This window comes from Homo sapiens, chromosome 6, assembly GCF_000001405.40.
Source record: "Homo sapiens chromosome 6, GRCh38.p14 Primary Assembly".
Classification (NCBI taxonomy): domain Eukaryota; kingdom Metazoa; phylum Chordata; class Mammalia; order Primates; family Hominidae; genus Homo; species Homo sapiens.
In genome coordinates this window covers 130,004,779-130,020,013 of record NC_000006.12, presented here as the reverse complement: position 1 = coordinate 130,020,013, position 15,235 = coordinate 130,004,779, and the positions used below count along the sequence as shown (strand labels likewise).

The 15,235-nt window shown below is 42.7% G+C and overlaps 1 protein-coding gene across 18 annotated transcripts in view, besides 1 other annotated feature; it reads right to left on the bottom strand.

Annotated features, from left to right (window-relative positions):
* The window catches only part of L3MBTL3 (L3MBTL histone methyl-lysine binding protein 3), a 122,858-nt gene extending 121,425 nt beyond the window's left edge, over positions 1-1,433 (bottom strand). For 3 of the 18 annotated variants that reach the window (XM_047419407.1, XM_011536184.3, XM_047419410.1), the window contains exon 1: positions 1,270-1,433. The gene's annotated coding sequence lies outside the window, so the exon portion shown is untranslated. Of the gene's footprint in view, positions 1-300; positions 371-550; positions 694-776; positions 955-1,059; positions 1,214-1,269 lie in introns of those variants that run through there. The other 15 variants (XM_006715576.4, NM_032438.4, NM_001007102.4 and 12 more) reach the window with 9 other exon arrangements.
* Positions 824-953: a silencer, noted in NCBI's record as "silent region_17535". NCBI's record gives its function as "represses an Ori minimal core promoter by ATAC-STARR-seq in GM12878 lymphoblastoid cells {active_cell/tissue: GM12878}" and the evidence as "EXISTENCE:reporter gene assay evidence [ECO:0000049][PMID:35858748]".

Sequence of the window (15,235 nt, the reverse complement as noted above, 5' to 3'; positions counted from 1 at the left end):
CGGCGCGGCCGCCGCCGCCGCGACCGCCGCCGCCGCCTCCCGACACACGCCCGCGCCCGCGCCCGCACCCGGGCCGGCGCGGCGCGGCACGGCGCGGGGCGAACGCCGCGACGGCGCGGGCTCCCGGCCCGGCCCGCGGCCCGCGCCCTCTCCCGCGCGGACGGCCGCCGCGGGCCCGCGCCGCCTCGCTTCCCAAAGCACTTTCCTGCCTCGGGCAGAAATAAACCGGAGGGTTTATTTTTGTGCAACTTTCCCAAAATGGCGGAAATTGGAGCTGATCTATATGAAATTCTCACACACTCGGTTGGGAAGAGGGAGGCGGCGAGGAAGCCACGCAAACTCTCGGCCGCCGAGCCCCGCCGCGGGTCCGTGTGTGTGCGTGCGTGTGAGTGTGCGTGTGCGCGGTGGGAGTCGGGCAGGCCTTTCCGCCGCGCACACACACAGCACACGCCGGGGAGACGCGCCTGCACATTCAACCAGTCCATTCTCCGCAGCCCGAAAGGGGAGAAAGTGGCCCGGCCTCTTTTCCCACTGCCTCGGTCTCCCGTACTTGTACTTCTCGCGCTCGCCCGCCCGCTCGCTCGCTCTCCGGTGCGCGCCCGGCACAAAGGCCACACGGGCGGAGGGGGCCGCAGGGGCGGCGCGCGGGGCTCGCGCCTCCCGCCGCACCGATCCGCGGCCCCGGCCGCCCCCGCGCCCCCCGCCGGCGCCCCCCGCCTCGGCGGCCGCGCTCGCCGCCTGGGCTGCGGCTCCGCGGCGCCCACCCGGACACGCACCCCGGTGGAGCCCGGCGCCGCCGCGCTCCCCCACCCCGCGCCCGGTGTCACGAAAGCGACCAAAGTGACAAGCTCGGGGGGCGCGGGGGAGGGGGCCACACGCATCCCGCCGCCTGCGCGCCAGCCTGAGCCCAACGCGGCCGCCTCGCCCCGGCTCCCTTCCGCACGGCCCCCCACACCCTTCCCCGTGTGCGCGCAAAGAAAAAAATACAAGTCTCTCCTCCCCCCATTTTTTCCTTTCTCTTTTCTCTCTCTTTTGTTCCTCTTTCACACTCGCACTCACTACTTCAGAGTGAGATGCCCAGAGACTCCCCCTCCAGCCGTTTCCGAGTCACTTGCCCACTTTTTTCCCCGGGATTAAGTTTTCTCCTCTTTCCCAGAGGCGCAGAGAAGTGGGGGAGAAACCCCTTCTGTCCCTCCCCTCCCCTGATCTGTTTCACAAGACGAGGGTGCGCTTCCTTCCCTCTATAGGGCTCTTAACTTTCATCCTCACCCAGAAAAATAAATGAATGGCTTTTGCACGGACAAATCTTCAGATTAATTAGAGATTAGATCCGATCAACCGCTTCTTACCCCCAAATTTTCTCTTTTTTTTTTCTCCGTCTCACGAGTAGTCCTGACAAATGGTCCAGGGCTGCGGGCGCAATGCGCATGTGCGCGTAGAGTCAGGGCTGGGGAGAGGGGAAACTGCGCTGGTGCCGGTGCCGCCGCCGCCGCCGCCGCTGCCGGGGAGGCTCGCTCTGGCTTCCCTGTTACTGCTGCTGCGCCTTCGCCGCTGGAAAGCAGCAATAAAGCCGGGTGGCAAATGCAGCTGCCCGCAGATCCTGTTTCAGGTGCATCTTTTCAATAGCCCGGTCACCGCCTCAGAGCTGGTTCAAGAACAGTCCAAACAAATAGGAAACACTGCTAAGGTTCCAGATTTCTTTGTCTATTTTTCACTTTACTTTTTTTAAAGGCAATTCTCAGAGCAGCGAATCCACCATGTGCTGTGAAATGTATGCATTCAGCCATTAAAGAGTGGGCCTTAGTCTTGCACAAACACTGCCCAAAGGCTAAATACATGCTACAGGTCATGAAAAGTAACAAAGTTGTAAGCTTTGGGAGAGTACAATCTCCCTCTCTTTGATGGCTGGAACAATGCATAATAAAGAAAGTGTGCATATAAAACTTGTGCCTTCTTTCCGCTTCCTAAGTGCGGATCTTTATTGACAGCTCCAACATGTTAGGCCTCTGTCGAGTAATAGGCTGAGATTCCTACAGTAACTTAGAACACTGTGAAAGTCCCTTGGCAATAAGCAGGTCCAGGACTACCCTCTTAAGGTATTCAGTCAAGATGGCTGAGCGGTCCTAAATGGCAAAACCTGTCTTTGTTAAAGCGTCAAAACTAGATCAAGAGAGTATTACATTTCAGTATTGACAGCTTTCGGCGCATTGACTGCGGGCCGCCGTTTGGACAGCTTCACTGGTCTTTTCCACTTAATAGGAGTACTTACAAAATAATTCGAGTAATTAAAGTTTTGATAAACATTTTGATGTCAATAGCAGAGTTTGCTGTGTGAAAAAAAAAAGCATGTGTGATTTTAGGAATGAGGGAAGCATGTCTTAGATTTTGCGGGGGGGGGGAGGTAAAAGGAAGTTCCCATCCCCAGAGTAGACTATTTTGCATCTAATAAAGGGTAAAGGAGGCCCTTTTCTGAAACTGCTGCCTGAGGCCTAGAATTTAAATATATCACAGATGGAAGTTCTATATTAAAAATCCTTCTCCAGTGTAGGGAATATTATTCTTGATTGAATTTTTTCACTTAAGGAATGTTTCTTGAACCAGTTTCAGAACATAAACTCTTAAATTCTTTCCTTAGGACCATGAAATTACCCTATAGAAGCAGACCACCCGATATATCTAATGTTGGTGTAGTGACCAAATTCTCCAAACCAAAAATCAGGCCATATGCCTTAACATGTACTCCAGAACAAACGGACAAATCCTGTGAAGCTGAAATGAACTTATAAAATGCTTCATACGTTGAACAGCCGTTGGCTGAGGGGTGTGAAGTAGAGAAGGCTGGGTAGTGAGAGCTGTAGATGATCTCAAACCACCAGTTCACTATTGATTTCACCCACCACATTCAACCCTTTTCAGAGCTGTTCCCAAACAGCTTAATTAACTGATCTGAATTTCAGCTTCTCTCCTTTTCTCTCTAGCCCTTGAATAATAAGCAGTGAAATGGCCAAAGGCAAACTGCAGGAGAAGGAAAGAAAGGGCATGAGCTATGTACAAAACTAAGACCTTGCCCCCATGGAAACTAAATTAATTTTAGATTCCTCTTTCTGAAAAATCAATTTTAGATTCCTTCTCTCAAGATAATTTCTAGATGATATTTCTGTTGTACTTATGTTTTCAGTGATACTGGTTCAACAGTCTATAAATGTGTATTAATGGCCTACCTGTGCTAAGTGCTCTGCAAGGTGCTGGGGATAAACAGGTGACCAAAACTAGGCCCCAGCTACAAGAAATTCAGCCTGGTGGAGAGACAGTGTAGTAAATTGGGCATTATGTTACAGTAATGTTATATGGAAAATGTTATAGCAGAGGTATGTAGAGCAAACACAGTTGAGCACCAGTGGCAATAAGGAAAGGCTTTACATTAGAAGTGATGGCTAAGCTGATTCTTGAAGGACAAACATCCAGGGTACATGATGCCATTCTTCTTCCCAGAAGGTGTCTGGGAACATGAACCAATCAGAGAAGTCCTGAGTAAAGGTCCGAGTGTTTCAAGAGCAAGGCTTGCCTAGAAAGTGTACTGACAGAGGTTCACTAACAGAAATAAGGATGACTTGAGGCTCTCTATGATACACTCTTTCTCCTCCGGAGATCATTATTAAAACCTCATCTCAATTTTTCTCAAGATGTGGTTCAGGATAGTAAAGATTTTGAAAGTACTCACTTGTAGGAATAATGACTTTAAAGGCTGCTGTCAAAGTTTTCTACAAAGAATCCTTTGGTGCCACTATCTAAAACAGAGGTAAAATACATTATTAGAAGCTAGGTAACATGATTTTATTCTTCGCATAAATGTGTACTATTTACCAGACCTTTCTCCGTCTGTTCACTAAATAGTAATATACTAGCAGAGGCTTCTTTGCCATCCCTTCCACCTTCCACCATTCACTCACTTGTTAATGATTCATGATGAATGCCTTCTTTCCGGCATCACTTAATCTCATCATCCTCTACCACTCTCCCACCTTCCCATCCCACCCTCCTCCACCCTGCCACATGTAAATACCAAATCCATGCTTCAGGTTCAGGTCTATAACTTCCCTGACGTCCCACACTCAGCTATGAGCTCACTCCTTTATTTTTCTTTATATTTATTTGTTTATATCCAAACTTGTCCACCCCAAAATGATTTCAGGTTACTACATTCCCAAATATTCTGAAGCTAAAGTCATTTTACATAGAAAATGTTTTAAACAAATCACTGTACTCACTCTCCAGAGAATTTTTGAAGCCTCTCATCACCCCATCCCCCACCCTCATGGATGTCATTCAAAACTTCTCACTGTACTCCATCCTGGAATGTCGATGCTGCATGCACTTCATTTTAGAAATCTTAGCTACTGCAGGATGTGGTGGCTCACGCCTGTAATCCCAGCACTTCAGGAGGCCTAGGTAGATGGATCATCTGAGGTCAGGCGTTCGAGACCAGCCCAGCCAACATGGTGAAACCCCGTCTCTACTAAAGATACAAAATTATCTGGGCATGGTGGTGCATGCCTACAATCCCAGCTACTTGGGAGGCTGAGGCAAGAGAATCACTTGAACCCAAGAGGCAGAGGTTGCAGTAAGCCGAGATTGCACCATTGCATTCCAGCCTGGGCAACAAGAGCGAAACTCTGTCTCAAAACAAACAAACAAACAAACAAAAATGCTTAGCACCCTTTTCCTAACACTATGCTTGTCCTGCATTGATAAGACAGGCCCCTCATGTCCTGGAAAAATTCAAGGATTACATTTTCCATGAGCCAGCCCTTCACAAATTGAAAGTGCCCAGGAGTGAAGTCCAAGAGACTGGTGTTCTAATCCAGTTCTGCTACCACCACTGGGAACCATTAGCCATGTCACCTCACGTTTTAGGAGCTTCAGTTCTCTCCCTACTTAGATAAAGTAAACAGAGTAATTGATTTTTTCCCTTTTTTTTCCTTTTAATTGGCCCTGCTTCCTGAAGTTTTTGTTGTTGTGTTTTGGAGGCAGTGGCTTGCTCTGTCACCTGGGCTGGAGTTTAATGGCGCAATCACAGCTCACTGCAGCCTCGACTTCCCAAGCTCAAATGATCTTCCCACCTCAGCCTCCCAAGTAGCTAGGACTACAGGAGCATGCCACCATGCCTGGCTGATGTTTTTTATGTTTTGTAGAGATGGAGATCTCGTTATGTTGCCCTGGTGGTTTCAAACTCCTGAGCTCAAGTGATCCTCCTGCCTCGGCCTCCCAAAGTGCTGGAATTACAGGAATAAGCCACTGCGCTCAGTCTGATTTCTGAAGTCTCCTTGAAAGCCATGTATCTCCCTACTCCTTCTCACATAACAGCAACACAATCATATTTTAGTACAAATAATATGGAACCGAGAAAGGGATTTTTAAGTAAAGAGTAAAGGCTCATCCAATAGGTATCATAATGTTATCAATGAATAGCTCATTCAGCTTGGCTTAAGCCTGGTACTAATGAGATGGAGGTCATGGGTTTCATTCCCTAATGGCTAGTTAGTTTTGATCTGTTTCATAGCCACAGACTGCTTTCCTAACCCCGGTCCCCCATGTTACAATGTGTGCTATTGGTCACAAGTCTTAAGGTAAAATTGAACCTTTCTATAGAAATTTTCTAAAAGAACAATTCTTGAAATCATCCTTTTAATGTATTATCTTACTGTTACATATGAGTCAAGTTATTGATTTTTTTTAGCCTATATAATTGTGTGCTCTGTGTTTTTCCAACTGTAAAAATGATGTTAACATTGATTTGGCCAAAATTCTTATCATTGATATTTGTAAGAGCTGAGTCTGGTCTTCCTGTTAATGTTCTAGATAACACTGAAATGTTCTTATAGTTCTTTTCATTTGAATACCAATCTCTTGCTTGTGATACATCTGTATCCAACACTCAGCACAAAGCTTATGATAGTGAAATGTAATTGAAATGCTGAGGGGGAAAAAAGGGGGTATAGTACTCATCAGGTGAGGAAAGGATTATAATATGTATCACATTCTAAACATCGTAAGGAAATTAAATATATAAAGATGTGATGTGAATATATATTATCATTTCATTTAGATATGAAGAAGTTAAGATAGAAATATTGCAGACATATTCAAAAGAATAGAATAATATGGGATTGTCAACTGACTTCTAAATTAAAAAGACGGTTGATAATTCTTCATAACACACTCACTTAGAACCTAAATTCAGAAGCCATATAACAAACAATATTGGAAGGAACAAGCCAGACTTCAGAACATGCCTGTGACAACAGCCGCCAGTACACTGAGATCCTGGTTCTAGAATGTTCTTTCCATTTGACCTGATCTCCTGGCCACAGCTGATTGGTCCAGGATTGGGCATGTAATCTAAGGGCTGAGTAGAATAGCAGGGGTGGCCTGTGAGTCAGCAGGGAATGTGCTTCCCCATATGAATAGCCAATCATATTCTCACACTTGGCCACATTAACTGAAGACACTGGGGACACTGGGGTTAAAAGTTAGTTGATAGCCATTACAAAAACAATTAATAAACAACTCAGAGAGAAAAAGCATGGGAAGATTAGCGATTAGACAGTAGAAACTATGCATAAGTAGAAACCATAAGTTAGAGAAAAACAGAGATAGGTGGCTGGAGGCCCAAAAGATAAAGGTGCCAGAACTGCAGTGGACTCTGCATGTCTTCTTATTCCCAAATGTCATTCCAGTTTTGTAAGGCCTGATCACTCTGTGGTTACCAGAAGGGCTACTTGTAGAGCAGGATTCCTATCTTCACTGGCATCCCAACAATAGCTCCTCATCACTTATGGAAAATTGAGGCATTTTTTGAATCAAATAGAAAAACCAAAGACGCCAAGCAATGTGTATGACTCATTCTCTTTGGCCTTACAAAATTAAAGAGGACCAAGTTAGACAGTCAATTTAGTCAATCCAGTACCCGTCATTTTTTCTCATTAGTGGAACATTCAGGCCGAATTTCAAGGTTCAAATCCCAACTCCACTACTTGCTAATGTGTGATCTTGGACAAGTTATTGATCCTCTCTTGCCTCAGTTTCTATATCTGTAAAATGGGGATACTGACACTACCTAGTTCGTGGGGTTGTTATGAGGATTTGATGGACGCATCCAAGAAAAATCCTTGGCACTTGGTTAGCAAGCAATAAATGTTAACTTCTTAAAAGGAACTTTTTCCTGTTTTATTTTTATTGAATATTGACAAATTATAATTGTATATATTTATGGGGTATAAAGTGATGCTGTATGTATATAATGTAGAATGATTGAATCAAGCTAATTAACATGTCCATCATCTCAAATAATTATCATGTATTCCTTCTGTCTAAAGGGAACTTTGTACCCCTTGAACCGATTCCTGGCCACTCCCTGGCCGCTGGTAACCACCATTCTACACTCTCCTTTTATGAGTTCAATTTTTTGCAGCTTCCACATGTAAGTAAGAATATTTGGTATTTCTCTTTCTGTGTCTAGCTTATCTCACTTAGCATAATGTTCTCTGGGTTCACCCGTATGGTCACAAATGGCATAATTTCCCTCTTTTTAAAGGCCGAATAGTTTTCCATCATGTGTATATGCCACATTTTCTTTACGCATTCACTGGTTGGTAGACACTTAGGCTGCTTCCCTATCTTGGCTATTGTGAATGATGCCACAATAAACATGGGAGTGCAGATATCTCTTCGACAGGCTGATTTCAAATCCTTTGGATATATACTCAGAAGTAGTATTGCTGGGTCGTATGGTATTTTTATTTGTAGTTATTTTAGAAACTCCATATTATTTTCCATAATGGCTATATCAGTGTACATTCCCACTCACAGTGTACAAGGGTCCCCATTCCTTTACATCAGTGCCAACACTTGGTATCTTTATTTTTTTTAAAAGAATAGCCATTCTGACAGCTGTTCAGTGATATCTCATTGTGGCTTTAATTTGCATTTCTCTAATGATTAGTGATGTTGAGTACTTTTTCATGTACCTATTGACTATTTGCATATCTTCCTTTGAAAAAGTCTATTCAGATCCCTGGCCAGGCTTTTTTCTGTTTTGTTCCCTGTGTACTCCTAGCACCCAGAACTGTACCTGCACATGGAAGCATGCAAAAAACATTTACTAAATGACTTAAAGAAGTATTCTTATGTGAATTATTACGCTGCTCTTGGACTTGTGTCTTTCCTGGCTAGTTACTAGACCGTAGGTATTGTATCGGAGTTATGTTCATGGGCAACACCCTCCTAAAAGTTCCTAAAAGCATGTAAACAGAGAGTGTTAATGGAATTCATAGGCCCTATTTCAAAGGAGCCTGCTGTTCAGAATATATTATCTTTATTTAGCATTTATATTACACTTTTACATTTTCAAAGCCCTTTTCAGTTTTTTAACTAAATATTTGTTATAACATTCCTATGTTATCTTTCATAAGGGAGATAACTGAAGCATGGTTCCAATTGCTAATACCTATATCTAGAATTGAATTTATCACATAAATACAGTAAATGTAACTATATATTAAAAAAATCTGGAACATTACTTTGTTCACGTAGAATGCCGAATGGAATGTCAATGTAAGAGAAGAAGACAATCTGTTACTTTAAATTATACTAGCTATGCCTTGCACTTGGTTCTATTTCAGAAACCAGAATCAATAGAAAGGTTTTTAAACAGAGGTTTCTCAATGGGTTTGAAGTCTTTAACGAATGAAATTTTGAAATTCAACATTGAAACATTTCACCATGTCTCAGTAATTTCCCCATACTTTTCTATGGCAGTCTCTTCAAGTAGTTCTCTCCTAGTGTCAGTATGTTGAGGGTTTCCGCACGTATGCCCTTAGAATTTGTTGACAGTGAAAAATAAAACTGGTAAAAATCAGCATACCATCAATAAAATCAGCCAAGAGTTATCTACCTTAAGGGTCTATAAATAAGGTTAAGGAGGTTTGTGAAATACCCAAACTCAATCAGGCATCTCTGTGGAGTTTCAGGAAAGTTGGAAAATGTGTTAGTGTGAAAGATACTGAGTTTCAGTCACTCTTTGAATGGGTTGCCTTCATGGTAGAGTAAAACCATCCTAACTCAAAGGAGCCCTCAGTAAAGCTAGATAATCTACTCATTTGACCCTATCTGACTCCCTCTTCCTTAGCCCAACCAGCTGTTTACCAATCTTGACACCAGAGCTTCCCACAGCCTCACAGTGTTGCCTCTCTATCCCAATGTAAACTACTTCAAGCCAGGTGTGGTGGCTTGAGGCCGTGAGTTCAAGACCAGTCTGGGCAACATAGTGAGACCCCATCTTAAAAAAAAAATAAAATTAGCTGAGCATGGTGGTGCACACCTGCAATCCTAGCTACTCAGGAGGCTGAGGCAGGAGGATCGCTTGAGCCCAGGAGTTCCTAGTTACAGTGAACTGTAATTTCACCACTGCTCTCCAGCCTGGCCAACAGAGTGAGACCCTCTCTATAAAGCAAAAAACAAAAACAAAACAAAAAAACACCAAAAACTGTCAGCTCTTCCTTTCAACTTGCAAAGTCTCTTTCTCTCCTATTCCTGGGGAAAGAATATTCCTATTTCTCCCTGCCCCTCACTATCCCTTGAAATGTGCTCTTGATCACAGCCTATCTCTAGTCCTCCATGAATTTCCATTATTCTCCCAAAATTTTCAGTTGACTATTCTCCACTAGCTTTTTCCTCACAGCCAAAAAATTATGCTCCTATCTTCCAGGTCCTCAAAAAGAAAACCTTTCCTCAAATCTACATCACTTCAAATACTGTACCATAATCTCACCTTTCTTTTGCCGCCAAACTTCATAAACAAGAAGTTTACGCTCACTTTCTTTGTTTCCTTACTTTCTATACATTCCTCAATCCACAGACACTGCTATATGTACTTTCTTCTCTGTAAAGTGTCCAATGACTTCCTAAGTGTCAAATCTAGTGGCCACAGTCTATTTCCTATTTAAGATTTTAGAAGCACTTGACAGTGTTGACTGATCACTTCTTTGAAATGGCCTTCTCATGCAGCGTCTTTGTCAATTCATTGTTCTGGCTGTTCTCTTATTCCTCAAACCCAGTCCCACTTTGTCTTCTCACACGATAGATACTTGTGCTTCCGGAATTAAGTTCCGGTCTTCTGTCATTACAGTCTCTCCTCAGTCAGCTTATTTATGTTCTTCCTCAGCATCGCTTGAAGTCATCTTTGTGTAGAGATGGACTATATTTTTATTCATGAGCATTTAACTGAAATTTACATTGCCGAGTTATTGAGAGATGAGTCCACATGGATATTCCATGTGTTTGAAGACAATGGAATAGTATGGTGTTTTTTGTTTTTTAAAGTTTGAACTTTGCCATTAGGTCTGGGTTGGAATCCTAGTTCCACCCCTTTACTAGATATTAGACAGTAACTTATTCTACATAAACAGAGTATCCTTCCATGTACAATAATCCGTCCTTCACAAGGTCATTATCAAGATTAAGTGAGATAATGCATGTGAGGTACCTAACACATAAGAGCTCAATAAATGGTAGCTATTGTTTTTGCCTGCTTCTTTTTCCTCTGCATTCTTCATCTCAGTTTGTAATGTCACCATGCTCTCAGGCACTGATTTAACAACAACTTCCTCTTCCTGCCGCCCACATCCAGTTGGTCAACAGATCCTATTAACAGTTCCATTATAATCTCTCTACTCCCAGGGAGGCACAATGGCTCACGACTGTAATTCCAGCACTTTGGGAGGCCGTGGTAGGTGGATCACTTGAGCTCAGGAATTCAAGACCAACCTGGGCAACATGGTGAAACCCGGTCTGTACAAAATATACAAAAAAATTAGCTGGGCATAGTGGTGCGTGCCTTTGGTCCCAGCTACTCAGGAGGCTGAGGTGGGGGAATGGCTTGAGAGGCCTAGGTTGCAATGAGCCGAGATCGTGCCATTGTACTCCTACCTGGTGACAGAGCCAGACCCTGACCCTGTCTCAAACAAACAAACAAACAAACAAACAAAAATAAAAATAACTCTACTCCCTCCTGGTACTATTTCCTCTGCCACTGCCCTAGTTTGTCTCCTGCCAAGATTATTACCGTATATTTCTAACTACATCTTCGCCATTACAATTGTATTCCTCAAGTATAGTGTTGGTAATGTTGCTTACCTGCTCCAACCCCTTTTAAATGGTTCCTAATAACTTCAGAAAAACTTTTTCTCCTTGGTATGGTACTTAGTGCCCTGCAACTTCTGGAACAGATCAACCTTTCCATGTGCAGCCCCAACCCATGAGTAAGCCACACCAGGCAAGCCTAGTGCATTGTCATTCTTCTTTCCTTTTGTTCATGTTATTTCCTGAACTTGGAATGCCCTCTTTCTGACCACTCTTGATCTATCCCAATTTCTAGCTCATTTGAAAAGATATTTGTACATTCATGTTCATAGCAGCATTCTTCACAATAGCCAAAAATGGGAACAATCCAGATGTCCACTGATGGATGAATGGATAAACAAAATGCAGTTATATATATCCAGTGAAAACTTTATTATTCACCCTTAAAAAGGAAGGAAACTCTGACACATGCTATAACGCGGATGGACCTTGGCGACATTTCAGTGAAATGGGCCAATCAGAAAAGGACAAATATTGTATGATTCCACTTATATGAGATAACAAGAGTAGTCAAATTCATAAAGACAGAAAGTACAATGGTGTTTGCCAGGGGCTGGAAGCAGAGAGGAATGAAGAGTTATTGTTTAATAGGTCCTGGACTTTCAGTTTTGAAAGATTTAAAAAGTTCCATAGATAGATGGTGATGATGTTTGCATAACAATGTGAATGTACTTACTGCCACTGAACTGTACACTTAAAAATGGTTAAAATGGCAAATTTTATGTCTATTTTTCCACACCTCAAGCAATTTAAAAATTCATCTTTATTGGCATCTATTAAGTACCAGGAACTGTGCTGGGAATTAGGAATACAAAAACAGATAAAATGCTGCCTGTTCTAGTGGGCATATGATTTAAAAGGGCTCAAATTCACCCTTTATATGAAAACTTCAGGTATGCGCACTTGAAATTTAAAGCTTTCTTCTGTCTCTATATCTATTTTAGCACTTGTCACATCCTGCTCTGTATTGTGTCTGGTCCTTGTAAACGTTTGTCTCTCTTTTGAGATAATAAAATACCCTAAGGTCAGGAGCTCTGTCTTATCTATTCATTTTTTAATCTATCAAAGCACTTAATACAGTTCATTGCACATAATGGGAGCTCAATAAATACTTATGGAGTAGAACAGAATGGAATGGAAGTGAACTCCAGCCGTCAGTGATGTTCTGGGCCCAAAATGACACCACCTGATAGACAGTTCTTCCTCAGAATGGTTGTACTGACCAGTGAATGGCATTCGTCAACAAAAAGATCAAAGGAAAGCCTCACTTCAACAACACAACTACATCACTCAATACCAAGTACACAAACATATTGTGGACTCTGTTCATGATCCTCAGTAAACATGACTATCATCTCATATCTGAATTAATTTTCCAAAATTTCAAATTTAAAGCCATGATTTAAGCATGGATGGATGGGTGGGCTTAGGTACCATCCAGCCCACTTACAATCAGAGCTGTGAGCCAACCATTAAGAGTTTTGTGTGAAGAGAAACAGCCACCAATAGTTGGCTTCTGTCTGTGGCCCACTGGAATTTGGAGGATTATATCTCATAGCTGGTTTGACTTTGAGTACATAGCAATAATCAGCACAAATAGCACTTTGAAATCTATACCTTCCTAACCTCTGATAACCCTTTGATTATAAATCATCTAGGTAGCAACAGACATTTAAGCCTGTCCTTTTGAGTGTCAGGGATTTTTCCCCTTATCAAATTGGGATTTTTCTTTTCATTTTCAAGAACAGAGTTCTTTCTTTTGCTTTCTAGATGAGGCATAGGCCCCTGATGCTTAATAATTATAGTTAAACTGTACTGAGTGACTACTGTGTGCCAAGAACCATGCGAAGCATTTTATATGCATTATCTCATGTTTTTTCTTGACAACCCTATGCAGTAGCAAAGTGGCTTTCTTTTGTGTGGGCCTGTCTCAAATCCCTCTCCTTTGTTTTCCTTAAGAACATCACACTTTCCCTTTAGGAGACTTCCTTTCTCCTTCCACATGGTCTTGGGGTCTGTCCATTCTCAAGCTTCCCGACATCAAGGAATGGGCAGGTGATGAGAATGAGGCCAGTTAGAGTCTGTCAGGAAAAATCTTATCCGTGGGATAAGGAACAAGGGTGGATGTAGGCAGATTATTTCAAAGCTCACTCCTCAAAATTCCTCAGTGATACCCTCACGGTCACCCTTGTGCCTATTATCCCTAAGGCCTGATGGTTTAGCTTTTCCTTCAATTCCGTGACATGTCTAATTTTGCTTTTTTTTTCTCTATCTAACATTAGCTAGAATCAGTTTCTTATAAACTATACATCTTCCCAATAAGGCAGTATATAGTTTTCTATCACTATGCAGCAAATTACCACAAAGGTAGCTACTTAATGCACATTTATGATCTTACAGCTTCTACGGGTCCGGGCTCTGGGCATAGCTAAGCTGGGCCCTCTGCTCAGGGCCTCACAAAGTTGCAATCTAGGTGTCAGCCAGGTCTCCTCAGAGGTTTGGAGCCCTCCTGGATGGCGTGAGAAAACCCAAGGTTGTCCCTGAATAAGTGCATTTTCTAGAAGACACAAGATCAATCCCAAAGGGAGGATCATAAATGGTAAAAGAGTAAAGGAGTTCGCAGAAGAGGCTATAATAAAATCTTACCAAAATGAGAGGGTGAGAGACGAAGTCTTCTCAAAGGAAGTGAATAGGATTCTGCTTTACAGAAAAGTGAGGAGTTGCCAGGGAACACAGAAGAAGTTTCCTGATGCTCTAATTTTTAGTGTTGGGGTCCCCAACCCCCAGTATGTAGCCTGTTAGGAACCGGTGCCCAGCAGGAGGTGAGCAGCAGGCGAGTGAGCCAGCAAAGCTCATCTGCATTTACAGCCACCGCCATTGTTCATATTACTGCCTGAGATCCCCCTCCTGTCAGATCAGCAGTGGCACTGGATTCTCATAAAAGCATGGACCCTATTGTGAACTGCACATGTGAGGGTTCTAGGTTGTATGCTTCTTATGAGAATCTAATGCCTGATGATCTGTCACTGTCTCCCATCACCCCCAGATGGGACCATCTAGTTGCAGGAAAACAAGCTCAGAGCACCCCTGATTCTACATTATGGTGAGTTGTATAATTATTTCATTACATATTACAGTGTAATGATAATAGACATGAAGTGCACAGTAAATGTAATGCACTTGGACCATCCCAAAACCCTCCCCCACTGCCCTCCTGCCCCACAGTCTGTAGAAAACTGTCTTCCGCGAGACTGGTCCCTGGTACCAAAAATGTTGGGCAACTGCTGCTCTCACTTTTTCCTGCTCATTATGAGCTAACACATAAGCTTTTTTATAAATAAGAGATGGTGATAAATTACCCACACCTTCAAATTCCATTTTCTTTGGTTGGCCTAAGAAAGTTTGGAAACCAAGGAAAAGAAATACATTTTGTTCAAACTGTAAATCCCATCTCTACTAAAAATACAAAAATTAGCCAGGTATGGTGGTGTGTGCCCTGTAATACCAGCTACTTGGGAAGCGGAGGTGGGAGGATCACTTGAACCCAGGAGGTGGAGGTTGCAGTAAGCCAGGATCACACCACTGCACTCCTGTACTCCAGCCTGGGCAAAAAAGTGAGACTCTGTCAAACAAAAAAAAAAAGAAAATAGTACCTTAATAGTACCAATAGTACCATCACTGGGCTACAGCGTGTATAAACCAGTTTACTGATCACTACTTTTCTTATGTGATTAATCCTATTGCTTCTTGGAGAATTCATTATTTCTGTTAGGCCAAAGGTGCCATTGATGGCCAATAAGGCAAATAACATCAGGGTCATGGGAGAAGGTAGAGAAAACAGAGGAGAAAATAACATTGTACACTTTATCAAACCATAGTATATCTACACCAGAAATACTATGTGTACTAGTATTACTAGAAATTGTATATGAAACAATAAAACAAATATGTGAAGACAGAGGTACTTAAAGTAGTTGCTAGGAGATTTGGGATTTTTTTTTTCCTTTTTGAGACGGAGTCTCATTCTGTCACCCAG